General features: G+C 42.9%; 5 annotated features.

Annotated features, from left to right (window-relative positions):
- Positions 4,111-5,310: an enhancer, noted in NCBI's record as "MED14-independent group 3 enhancer chr13:80766325-80767524 (GRCh37/hg19 assembly coordinates)". NCBI's record gives its function as "activates an origin of replication core promoter dependent on BRD2, BRD4, P300/CBP and CDK7 cofactors, and independent of MED14, by STARR-seq in HCT116 cells {active_cell/tissue: HCT116}" and the evidence as "EXISTENCE:reporter gene assay evidence [ECO:0000049][PMID:35650434]".
- Positions 4,111-5,501: a biological region, named in NCBI's record as "MED14-independent group 3 enhancer GRCh37_chr13:80766325-80767524".
- Positions 4,500-5,000: an enhancer, noted in NCBI's record as "H3K4me1 hESC enhancer chr13:80766635-80767135 (GRCh37/hg19 assembly coordinates)". NCBI's record gives its function as "activates a minimal SCP1, AML or CMV promoter by ChIP-STARR-seq in naive H9 embryonic stem cells {active_cell/tissue: H9 hESC(naive)}" and the evidence as "EXISTENCE:reporter gene assay evidence [ECO:0000049][PMID:30033119]".
- Positions 5,001-5,501: an enhancer, noted in NCBI's record as "H3K4me1 hESC enhancer chr13:80766134-80766634 (GRCh37/hg19 assembly coordinates)". NCBI's record gives its function as "activates a minimal SCP1, AML or CMV promoter by ChIP-STARR-seq in naive H9 embryonic stem cells {active_cell/tissue: H9 hESC(naive)}" and the evidence as "EXISTENCE:reporter gene assay evidence [ECO:0000049][PMID:30033119]".
- Positions 7,062-8,055: an enhancer, noted in NCBI's record as "NANOG-H3K27ac hESC enhancer chr13:80763580-80764573 (GRCh37/hg19 assembly coordinates)". NCBI's record gives its function as "activates a minimal SCP1, AML or CMV promoter by ChIP-STARR-seq in naive H9 embryonic stem cells {active_cell/tissue: H9 hESC(naive)}" and the evidence as "EXISTENCE:reporter gene assay evidence [ECO:0000049][PMID:30033119]".

Raw genomic sequence — 12,750 nt, 5'->3', positions numbered from 1 at the left:
GCTGCAGTGAGCCATGAAGTGCAGTGAGCCCCACTGCACTTCAGCCTGGGTTACAAAACAAGACCCCATCTCTTTAAAAAAAAAGAAAAAGAAAACTTAGGTCATCAAATTAGCTGGCCTAATGTAATCAGTGTGGCTTATAGGGCAAGGAATCAATCTTAATTCTGTTACTAATAAGGAAAATAGGATAAAAATGGAAGTATTGATAGCCAAGGTGTAATTCAAGGGTTGAGAAATAAAGTCCAGATGTTTGATTAAGGCCATGGGACAGGAACAGAGAGACATGCACAGAAGGGGCAAATGACAATATCTAGTATCGTCAGAGTCACGGGAAGCAGATAGAAAGAAATAGACCCAAACACTGGTGACTTGAAGTCCAAGGGAGCAGTAAGGAACCTAGAGAAAAATATAGGACTGAAGTAGGAAAAAGGTCTTCAGAGAACAAATTTGAGGTGCCAGAACCTGGAAAGATCCCTGTAACTGAGGCCAGTTTCTGTCTCATTCTCATAGTCTTTGTGCTTGCTGCGGTGGCAGGAACTGATGAGAGTATGACTCACTTGGACACTACTAGTGTCACTGGTACAATTTTACTGTCTTTACAGGGGTGGGAGATAAGGAGTGGTAGCTCTTTTTTGGGCATCAGCTTTGACTCTGAGGGACTAGCTGTGGAGAGGGGAAGTATGTGATCACGGCTGGGGGAGGTGGTCCCAGGGGCAGGGTTGGAGTGGAATCCAGAAGCCCTGAGCGCTTGGGAGAGACACTAAATCTGCAGAAGAGAAGTGCAAGAGCACCAAAGTCAATTTACAATTTTTCACAATTTTACCTAAAATATGTCCCTAGTCCTAGAACTATATTAATGGACTTACTAAGCCCTCCATTTTTAAACTCCCAATAAAGAAATACTCTCCCAAGCCCCATAGATCTCCTCAAAAGGCACTTTCTTAAAAGTCTCAGTGATGAATGTAAGTGTCATTAGTAATAAAAGCAAGGCTGTGTTCTGTGAAAGCCTATACTTGGAAATGGATATTTGGCGTTTTCAACAATCTTGTATAGTTTCTCACAAGTCATGCATCAATAATGCATTAATAGTGCTTTAGAATAACTCCAAAATCTGTTACCACTAAAAATAGTTTTCTGTCTTGAATAGATGTCTAATTTTGAAAGGAAATGGTTCACTTTCAAATATGAGACAGCTGTAAAAAATTATATATATGAACACATTTATGTATGGTACAGACTCTTCAAAAATAGTCCTCAATGGAGAAGAAATATCAATCTATTCTTCAAAGACTTTATACAATAGTTCTGAGGTACATAAATAAAATATAAAATTTATTTATTTGATCATTTTTACTTGGAAGTCTGTTACATTCAATATAACCAGTATAGCTAGTTATAGAATTGTGATTCTATATATGAGAAGCAAAGATGAATTAATGGTACTTGATTCTTTCATTGAAAGAATTGTGTACAATTTAATGGAATTCATGCCTAATATTTCAAAAAGGAATTGTCCTGCTTACCAAACAATCTCGTACATAACTGACCTTTCTCCATCCCACCCTCTCTCTTTCTCCTTTCTCCCTTCTTTCCTTCCTTCCTCTTTTCTTTTTCTTTACTTGTCTTTCTTTACCCCTCTTTCCTTCCTTCTGCCCTCCCTCCCATCCTCCCTCCCTCCTTCCCTTTTTTCCTTCTCACCATCTTTTTCTTTTCTCTCCCTTTCTTTCTTTTTCTTTCTTTCTCTTTCTTTCTTTCCTTCCTCTCTCTTTCTCTCTCTCTCTCTCTTTCTCCTTCCTTCTTCCCTCCCTCTCCGTCTCTCTTTCTTTCTTTCTTTCCCACCAGAAATGTTGTTAACCAGCAAAGAACCAATGGAAAATAAGTAGCTAAAAATAACTCATCCAATAACTATTCATTCCTTGGATTCCTAAAATGACATGAAGTGCTATAATAGGTGCATGTGCAACTGTGGCCTAGACACAGACCCTGCCATCATTATTTATAGGTTAGTGTAGATCCAGACAAGGAGAGAGGTCATACTTGGGGTTAGGAAGACTTTCCTGAGGAAGTGATATCTAAGTGGAGACCTGTGCATGAATAGGAGTCACTGCTTTGTGTTGAATGTGGGGTGAGACAAAGGAATAAAAGGTGTTCGTGGCAGAGGGAATATGTATAGAAACCCAGAAGCAAGAAGGAGCATAGAGCATATTGAAGAATCTCAGAGTTGGAGCTTTGGAGGTGGCTGGGGGAGTGGTGATCTGCATGTGGCATAGTGGTGGGGGATAAGGTAGAAAGGTGTTCTAATAAATGCTATGGGGTTTGGGCTTTATCCTAAGAAAAGTGAAAATAGAGAAGCTCATGAATACATACATTTAATTATGTCTAGGTTACTTAAATATCCGGGATGCTGCTTACCCTCCGTTTAAGTGCATCCTTATGAAAACTAAGACTAACTTAGCAGCAGGACATGAGGAAGCATCCAGTTCATAGACAAAAAGCTATATAAGCCAGTTTCTAAAATTTGTTTTTTCTACCAGTGGGTAAAATAATGTTACAATATTCAAATTGAGACTCAACAGACTTTAGACATCTTTTGGAATCAAAACGTAAGCTATTTAAACCCTGAATTATATAATATTTGAAATTACGTAAAAATTCCCCAGGCCGGGGTTCTGGAAACCCTTAAGACCTCTGTGCAGCATGCTTCAGCCATTTCTGCCAAAAGAAACTCTCTGATTAAAGGGAACGAGGCCACAAGGTCCAGGAAATGAGGATCCCTGGAAGGAGACGTGCAAGTTTGCACAGACACATCTGCCCAGGGCCTACAAGTAACTGGGATGATGCAAAGATTAATACATTTAATTTTTGCTTTTTATTAGATTTTCACAGGACTCTGTGTGTTTTTTTTTTTTTTTTTTTTTTTTTTTTTTTTTGAGACAGAGTCTTGCTCTGTTGCCCAGGCTGGAGTGCAGGGGTGCAGTCTCGGCTTACTGCAAATTCCACCTCCCAGGTTCACACCATTCTCCTGGCTCAGCCTCCTCATTAGCTGGGACTACAGGCACCCACCACCACGCCCAGCTAATTTTTTTGTATTTTTAGTAGAGACGGGGTTTCGCCGTGTTAGCCAGGATGGGCTCAATCTCCTGACCTTGTGATCTGCTGGCCTCGGCCTTCCAAAGTGCTGGGATTACAGGCATGAGCCACTGCGCCCGGCCAGGACTCTGTGTTTTTAAGCACAACCTAATGTAGTGACACTTGACTATCCTAAAATGAAGAGAAAATTATGTCCATTCCCCTGTGGATACCACTGTTAAGAACGATGGCTTTTAGCTTTTTCTGGGTGCACAAAACATTTTGAAAAATCATTAATGACTGGGCGTGGTGGCTCACGCCTGTAATCCCAGCACTTTGGGAGACCGAGGCAGACGGATCACGAGGTCAGGAGTTTGAGACCAGCTTGGTCAATATGGTGAAACCCTGTCTCTGCTAAAAATACAAAAATTAGCCAGGCATGGTGGCTCATGCCTGTAGTCCCATTTTCTCAGGAGGCTGAAGCAGAAGAATCGCTTGTACCCAGGAGGCAGAGGTTTCAGTGAGCCGAGATCACGCCATTGCATTCCAGCCTAGGCGACAAAGTGAGACTCTGTCTCAAAAAGAAAAAAAAAAAAAACAGAAAAGAAAAAGAAAAATCATTGAATATTCACCTTGACATCTGAATATGCAAATATAAAACTGTAATCATATGCACACTAAATTCTGCCTAGACTTTCAGAAGGTGCACAGATTCCCATGGTTCATCCACAGACGCAGATAAATACTATAATAGTAACCTCGATTGAATATTTACTATATGCCAAACACTCAACTAAGCACTATACATGTCTTATCTCATTCCATTCTCTTAATAATTGTATAATAGGATTACTATTATCTCCATTTTAAAGATGAGCAAACTGAGGCTTATAGGAGTAAGGTAACATGCCTAATGTTGCACAGATAGAATGGTGGAGTCATCATTAAAACCCAGGCAAGCTGTCTCCCCAAGCCAAGCTCTTAATCACTGCCCAGGCCCCTAGTCATATTTGCACTTGAACAATACAGGATGATATGGAAATAAAACTACACTCAGAGCCAAGATGCACAGTTCTCATTCTGATTGTGTTCTTCAATGTCAAAACAAGATAAAAGTTTCAAAGCCATATTAAGGAATAAGAAAATGCATAGAAGGAAAGCAATGTTAAAATCATTCATAACCAGTGACCCAGGGATATATGTTAACATTGCAAAGTTTATTAAAAGATTGCTACGTGCTGAAAACTAGTCTTAAGGTTTTACATGCATTATCTCACTAGATCCTCACTGTATTACCTTGTTGTAAGGGGATCATACTTTTATCTCTATTTTACAAGGTAGAACATAGGCTTAGGGTGAAGAAGTAACTAATTTAAAATTAAGCAGTAAATTATTATGTAGTGAAGTTGGATATTATAGTTTAATCTGTTTTATGGCAAACTCATGTTCTTAATCTATTTGCTCTATTGTCTCATTTCCCAATACACCTTTCCAGGTATTTATTTCTAGGCATATATACCTATACATAAGTGAATATTTTCAAGATAGGGCATTCTGGACATATAATTTTATAATCTGTGCTTTTACTAAGCAATATATTGAAAACATTTTTCCATATTGTTACCAGGGATCCTTGCTTCCAGAGCTCCCAAGATGGAGGCAGTCTGCTTCTAAGATGGTGGCAAGCCTCGTGTTCTCTGACCTGGGGTTCTTGGCCTCAGGGATTCCAAGGAATGGAATCTTGGGGCATGCGGTGAGTGTTATAGCTCTATTAGAAGTCATGGGTCACAGAAGAGAACTGTGGAACCCAGTGACTAGTGTTCAGCTCGATTAGGACGAACCCTGGCACTTAGCCGTGCAGGAACAATGGCAAGCCTTTAGCCAGATCCGGAGTGGCAATGGGCGTCTCGCTGGATCAGGAGCACAGCAGACACCCTGCCAGATCCGGAGGGATGGAAGTCAGCGGTGGGTCAGCGACAATGGCAACCAGCAGTGGTGGATGGCGAGCGAAGGCTCAGCTCTAGCCATAGCAAACACGGACCAGAAGAGAGTGCAGTTGCAAGATTTAATAGAGTGAAAACAGGCTCCCATGCAAAGGGAGGGGACCCAAAGAGGGTAGTCGTTGCCAGGTTTATATCCGGATCATTGTCCCTCCAGCTGTGCTCTCAGGCGATAGATGATTAGCTATTTCTTTACCTCCTGTTTTTGCCTAATTAGCATTTTAATGAGCTCTCTTTACTACCTGATTGGTCGGGTGTGAGCTAAGTTGCATGCCCTGTGTTTAAAGGTGGATGTGGTCACCTTCCCAGCTAGGCTTAGATATTCTTAGTCGGCCTAGGAAATCCAGCTAGTCCTGTCTCTCAATATCAAATACACATTAGTGACAAATATGTTTCTATGAACTATTCTTTAATGGCTGTGTAGTATTCCAATAAATGGATCATCATCATTTGTGGACTGCTACCTTAAGTTTAAATATTTGTGTTGGTTCCAATTTTTCCCCAATCACTTGCTTCTAGATAAAATTCTTACTCTCTCTTATTTCAAATGGGAATAATAGCATTGTTCCATCTATCACAGGATTAGCATGGGAACTGAATCAAATAATACTTAAGAGTAAGTCCAAAGAGGGAAAGTAATATATTATGATCATTTCTCCTTTGGGGAAGGAAGAAGTATGCCTCAGCAGGAGGGAAATAAAATAGTCACTTTGTGCATACAAAAGAAATAATAACATTGAGAAATTTCTCTACTTTCTACTCCATCAATTGTGAGTTATATACTTCACTATCCAAAATAAATATGTGTAAGAAATTACCATTTTGTTTAAAAATGAGATAGACTGCTAAAAACACTGACTATTTATTGACTTAATCACAGATTGTAAGATTATAAGTGTTATCCATGTACCCTCAGAGCTGCTTGGGAGGGAGACTGAAAATAAAAGAGAAGAGTTGTCACTTTATTATTCAAATATCAATGTAACAAATAAATGGTTCAGGCCAGGTGCAGTGGCTCACCCCTGTAATCCCAGCACTTTGGGAGGCCAAGGCGAGTGAATCACTTGAGGTCAGGAGCTTGAGACCAGTCTGGCCGACATGGTGAAACCCCATATCTACTAAAAATACAAAAATTAGCTGGGTGTGGTGGTGCATGCCTGTAATCCCAGCTACTCAGGAGACTGAGGCAGGAGAATCCTTTTAACCCGGGAGGCGGAGGTTGCAGTGAGCCGAGATTGCACCACTGCACTCTAGCCTGGGCTACAGAGTGAGACTCCATCTCAAAAAAAAAAAAAAAACAAAAACAAAAAAGCAAAAAACAAAACAAATAAATGGTTCTGTGAATATTCCGTTTAGATTTATGTCATTATAGTAACATAAATTATATGAAATGGCCAAAACTGAATTTGCACTTGCTATTTGAACATACACTTTGGTCTTTCAAAGTCCGAGACTCCAATATATCAATTGCTAATCAGCACAAAGGTTAGGCTCAGATTGGAGGTGAGACTCAGAGACATACAATCACATTGTCCATAGAGTCACTGGTAAGTCAGCCCCGTCTCCATTTGAACTGGTGCTTGACTTTAGAGACAGGGCATAGCTAAAACAAAGAGCATCTGTCTCCCTTCTCCTCACTACACCTTGCCTCTCAAATCCTTCTCTCTTACTCCCTATTATTCTTAATGACATTTCCCTCTCCAAAGATAGAGGTGCCTTGTCCTGTGCAGAGGGTAGGCAGTGGTACAAGAACAAGGTGGATCAGCAGTGAGTTGACATAATCATGTACAGTGATGGCACCACATAGCATTTCAGTCAGCAATGGACTGCATATGTGACAGTGGTCACGTAAGATCATAATATTGTATTTAAACCTTTCGACGTTTAGATATGTTTAGATACACCAACACCATTGTATTACAATTGCCCACAGTATTCAGTACAGTCATGTGCTATACAGTTTTGTAGCCTAGGTGTGTAGCAGGCTATCCCATCTAGTTTTGTGTAAGTACACTCTGATGTTTGCACAATGACAGAATCACCTAAGGATGCCTTTCTCAGACTATATTCTTGTCATTAAGTGATGCATGACTGTACAAGGTTTAAGACTTTCACTAAGATGGAAACCTGGTCTCAGGAAACGCACAGAGCAGTAGGCCAAGGATGATATGACCTAACATCTGTATCATCACTTCAAGTGTATCAAATTTGCGTGGAGCCCTGAAGCTCCCTGAATCTCCCAATTATTCTTTACTCCTCCTTATCTAATTGGACATAAAATCCTACTTTACCTGGAAAAATGCTTCTTCTCTACCCACAGTGGCATTGCCTTAGAAAAGGCCACATCAGCAATTTTTTTTTTTTTTTTTGGCAAAGGAGTTTCACTCTTGTTGCACAGGCTGGAGTGCAGTGGTGCAATATAAATTCGCTGCAACCTCTGCCTCCTGGGTTTCACGCGCGCCCGTATTAAGAGACCACCAAACAGGCTTTGTGCGAGCAATAAAGCTTTTAATCACCTGGGTGCAGGTGGGCTGAGTCTGAAAAGAGAGTCAGTGAAGGGAGATAGGGGTGGGGCCGTTTTATAGGATTTGGGTAGGTAAAGGAAAATTACAGTCAAAGGGGGGTTGTACTCTGGTGGGCAGGAGTGGGGGTTGCAAGGTGCTCAGTAGGGGAGTTTTTGAGCCAGGATGAGCCAGGAAAAGGACTTTTACAAGGTAGTGTCATCACTTAAGGCAAAGACCGGCCATTTTCACTTCTTTTGTGGTGGAATGTCATCAGTTAAGGCGGGGCAGGGCATTTTCACTTCTTTTGTGATTCTTCAGTTACTTCAGGCCATCTGGGCGTATATGTGCAAGTCCCCAGGGATGAGATGGCTTAGCTTGGGCTCAGAGACCTGACATTCCTGCCTTCTTATATTAATAAGAAAAATAAAACAAAATAGTGTTGAAGTGTTGGGGCGGCGAAAATTTTTGGGGGTGGTATGGAGAGAGAGAATGGGCGATGTTTCTCAGGGCTGCTTCAAGCGGGATTAGGGGCGGCGTGGGAACCTAGAGTGGGAGAGATTAAGCTGAAGGAAGATTTTGTGGTAAGGGGTGATATTGTGGGACTGTTAGAAGAAACATTCGTCATTTAGAATTATTGGTGATGGCCTGGATACAGTTTTGTATGAATTGAAAAACTAAACGGAATAAGAGAAGGAGAAAAACAGGTATTAAAGGTCTAAGAATTGGGAGGGCCTAGGACATCTGATTAGAGAGTGCCTAAGGAGATTCAGCATAGTCCTGCCAGCAAAGATTATTTATTTCCTTTAAGAGTTAAGAGTGGCAGTTTGGGGATAGCACCAATATCAGCTGTGATGGCTTGGAGAAACAGTGTAAACCGGCAGTGTAAACAAAAGCAGGGCATGTATGAGTAGTTAAGAACGGTGAATAGGAGTATGACTAGACAGAAGACAGTAGGGATGACAAGTTTTTTGGAGCACAGTCCAAGTTGGTCTGGTGTCTGGAATGAGACTGGGGCCTAATAAAAAGGAGCATCTATACAGGAGCTCAAATGGGCTGTACCCTGTAGCATTCCAAGGACAGGCCTGAATTCTGAGAAGGGAAAGTGGTAAAAGTATTGTCTAGTCCCTTTTAAGTTGGTGGCTGAGCTTGGTGAGGTGTATTTTTAAAAGACTATTAGTCTGTTCTACTTTTCCTGAAGATGGAGGACCATAAGGGATATAAAGGTTTCACTGGATACTAAGAGCCTGAAAAAACGCTTGGCTGATTTGACTAATAAAGGCCGGTCTACTATCGGACTGTACAGAGTTGGGAAGGCCAAACCGAGGAATTATGTCTGACAGAAGGGAAGAAATGACAGCGGTGGCCTTCTCAGACCCTGTAGGAAAGGCCTCTACCTATCCAGTGAAAGTGCCTACCTAGACTAGGAGGTCTTTTAGTTTTCTGACTCGGGCCATGTGAGTAAAGTCAATTTGCCAGTCTTGGGCAGGAGCAAATCCTCTAGCTTGATGTGTAGGAAAGGGAGGAGGCCTGAACAATCCCTGAGTGGTAGTAGAATAGCAAATGGAACACTGAGAAGTGATTTCATTGAGGATAGATTTCCAGGATGGAAAGGAAATGAGAGGTTCTAAGAGACAGGCTAGCGGCTTGTAACCTACATGGAAGAGGTTATGAAATGACGACAGAATAGAATGGGCCTGTGAGGCTGGAAGGAGATATTTTCCTTGGTCTAAGAACCATTTGCCTTTCGTGGGAAGAGATTGATAGTTGGAAGTTTCAGCGGGGGAGTAGGTGGGAGTGACTGATGTGAAGAGACAAACTGGCCATGAAGGACAGAAGGTGGAAAGCTAGCTGCTTGTCTAGCCACCTTATCAGCATAAGCGTTGCCTAGAGCAATGGGATCTGATGCCTTTTGATGGCATTTGCAGTGAATAACTCCAGCTTCCTTTGGAAGTAAAGTGGCCTTGAGCAGAGTTTTTATTAAAGAGGCATTAACGATGGAGGACCCTTGCATAGTGAGGAAACCTCTTTCAGCCTATATAACAGCATGGTGGTGCAGAATATGAAAGGCATATTTAGAGTCAGTATAAATATTGACGCGTAGTCCCTTTGCAAGAGTGAGGGCCTGAGTTAAGGCAACTAGTTCGGCTTGCTGAGAGGTAGTGGAGGGGGGCAGGGCGGTAGCCTCAATAGCAGATGTGGAAGATACTATTGCATAGCCTGCCTTTGCTGGTGAGTGGCGATTAGGCCTGGTGGAACTGCCATCAATAAACCAAGTGTGATCAGGGTGAGAAACAGGGAAGAAGGAAATGTGGGGAAATGGGGTGAACGTCAGGTAGATCAGAGAGATGCAGTCATGAGGGTCAGGTGTGGTATCCGGAATAACGTGGGAGGCTAGATTGAAGTTCATGCCAGGAACAATGGTAATTGTGGGAGACTCAACAAACAGTGAGTACAGCTGAAGGAGCTGGGGAGCAGAAAGTATATGCGTCAGGTGTGAGGAAGAAAATAGATTTTGGAAGTTATGAGAACTGTAGAGAGTGAGTTGAGCACAGTTTGTGATTTTGAGGGCCTCTAAAAGTATTAAAGCAGTGGCAGCCACTGCAAGTAGACATGAGGGCTAGGCTAAAACAGTAAGGTCAAGTTGTTTGGGCAGAAAGGCTACAGGGTGCGGTCCTGGCTCTTGTGTAAGAATTCTGACGGCAATAACCATGCCTAGGAAGGAAAGGAGTTGTTGTTTTGTAGAAGGGACTGGGGTTTGAGAGATTAGCTGGACACAATCAGCAGGGAGAGCACATGTGTTTTTATGAGAATTATGCTGAGATAGGTAACGGATGAGGAAGAAATTTGGGCTTGACTGAAGTAATGGGGGCTGTCTGTGAAAACTTGCGGCAGTACAGCCCAGGTAATTTGCTGAGCCTGATGGGTGTCAGGGTCAGTCCAAGTGAAAGCGAGGGTGCAAATGGGATGAGGATGAAGGGTGCAAAGGAATAGTAAAGAAAGCATGTTTGAGATCTAGAACAGAATAATGGATTGTGGAGGGAGGTATTGAGGATAGGAGAGTATATGGGTTTGGCACCAAGGGGTGGATAGGCAAAACAATTTGGTTGATAAGGCACAGATCTTCAACTAACCTGTAAGCCTTGTCTGGTTTCAGGACAGGTGAAATGGGGAGATTGTAAGGGGAGTTTATAGGTTTTAGAAGCCCATGCTGTAGCAGGCGAGTGATAACAGGCTTTAATCCTTTTAAATCGTATGCTGGGATGGGATATTGGTGTTGAGTGGGGTAAGGGTGATTAGTTTTTAATGGGATGGTAATGGGCATGTGATCAGTTGCCAGGGAAGGAGTAGAGATGTCCCATACTTGTGGGTTAAGGTGGGGGGATACGAGAGGAAGACACAAAGGAGGCTTTGGGTTGGGGAGAAGGGTGGCAATGAGATGCAGCTGTAGTCCAGGAATAGTCAGGGAAGCAGATAATTTAGTTAAAATGTCTTGGCCTAATAAGGGAAGTAGGCAGGTGGGGATAATTAAAAAAGAGTGCATAAAAGAATGTTTTCTAAATTGGCACAAGAGTTGGGGAGTTTTAAGAGGTTTAGAAGCCTGGCTGTCAATACCCACAACAGTTATGGAGGCAAGAGAAACAGGCCCTTGAAAAGAAGGTAATGTGGAGTGGGTAGCCTCCGTATTGACTAAGAAGGGGAAGGACTTACCCTCCACTGTGAGAGTTATCTAGAGCATCTGTGATGGTCCTGTAGGCTTCTGAGGCAATCGGGCAGTGTCAGTCTTCAGCTGCTAAGCCGAGAAGATCTGGGAAGGAGTCAGTCAGAGAGCCTTGGGCCAGAGTTCCAGGGGCTCTGGAAGTGGCTGCCGGGTGAGTTGAACAGTCCGATTTTCAGTGGGGTCCCACACAGATGGGACATGGCTTAGGAGGAATCCCGGGCTGTGGGCATTCCTTGGCCCAGTGGCCAGATTTCTGGCACTTGTAGCAAGCTCCTGGGGGAGGAGGCTCTGGCAGCTGCGGTTCAGGTGTTTGGAGTTCTTGTGTTCTGGAGATGTGGCTGGGGTGTGTCTCACAGTGGAGGCAAGGAATTGCAACTCAGAAATACATTGCTACTTGGCTGCCTCTACTCTATTATTGTACACCTTGACGGTGAGGTTAATTAAGTCCCGTTGTGGGGTTTGAGGGCCAGAATTTAATTTTTGGAGCTTTATTTCATGTCAGGAGCAGATTGGGTAATAAAATAAAATGCATATTGAGAATAAGATGGCCTTCTGACCTTTCAGGGTCTAGGGCTGTAAAGCGTCTCAGGGTTGCTGCCAAAAGAGCCATGAACTGGGCTGGGTTTTTATATTTGATGAGAAAGAGCCTAAACGCCAGCTGATTTTGGGAGAGGTCAGATAAAGAAAAAGGAGCATTAACCTTGACTATGCCTTTAGCTCCAGCCACCTTTTTAGGAGGAAATTGCTGGACAGGTGGGGGAAGGCTAGTCGTGGAATGAAACTGTAAGCTGGACTGGATGTGAGGAGGGGAGGTGATAAAAGGATTATAGGGTGGGGGAGCAGAGGCTGAGGAAGAATTGGGACCTGGCTCGGCCTGGCGAGGAGGGGAGAGGTCAGATGGGTCTGTAGAAAAGGAAGATTAGAAAGACTTAGCGATGCTTGAGGTTGGGACTGAGGGGACAGGCGGGAGGGAAAGAAGGAGGATCTGGGACAAGTCGCACTGGGAAGAGAGACTAGAGAGGGAACAATGTATAAAAGAATGCTTGGACATCACGCACCTCAGACTGTTTGCCCATTTTATGACAAGAATTATTTAGATCTTGTAGGATGGAAAAATTGAAAGTGCCGTTTTCTGGCTATTTGGAACCACTGTCGAGTTTATATTGGGGTCAAGCGGCATTGCAGAAGAAGATAAGGCATCTAGGTTTTAGGTCAGGTGTGATCTGGAGAGGTTTTAAGTTCTTGAGAACACAGGCTAAGGGAGAAGAAGGAGGAATGGAGGGTGGAGAAGATAAGGCATCTATGTTTTAGGTCAGGTGTGAGTTGAAGAAGTTTTAAGTTCTTGAGAACACAGGCTAAGGGAGAAGAAGGAGGAATGGAGGGTGGAAGGTTGCCCATAGTGAAGGAGGCAAGCCCAGAGAAAAGAGAGAGTAGAGACATGGAGGGAAGGGGTTTGGGG

This window comes from Homo sapiens, chromosome 13 (assembly GCF_000001405.40).
Source record: "Homo sapiens chromosome 13, GRCh38.p14 Primary Assembly".
In the NCBI taxonomy this organism is placed as follows: domain Eukaryota; kingdom Metazoa; phylum Chordata; class Mammalia; order Primates; family Hominidae; genus Homo; species Homo sapiens.
The sequence above is the reverse complement of the archived record's forward strand: the minus strand, read 5'-3'. Positions and strand labels throughout refer to the sequence as shown.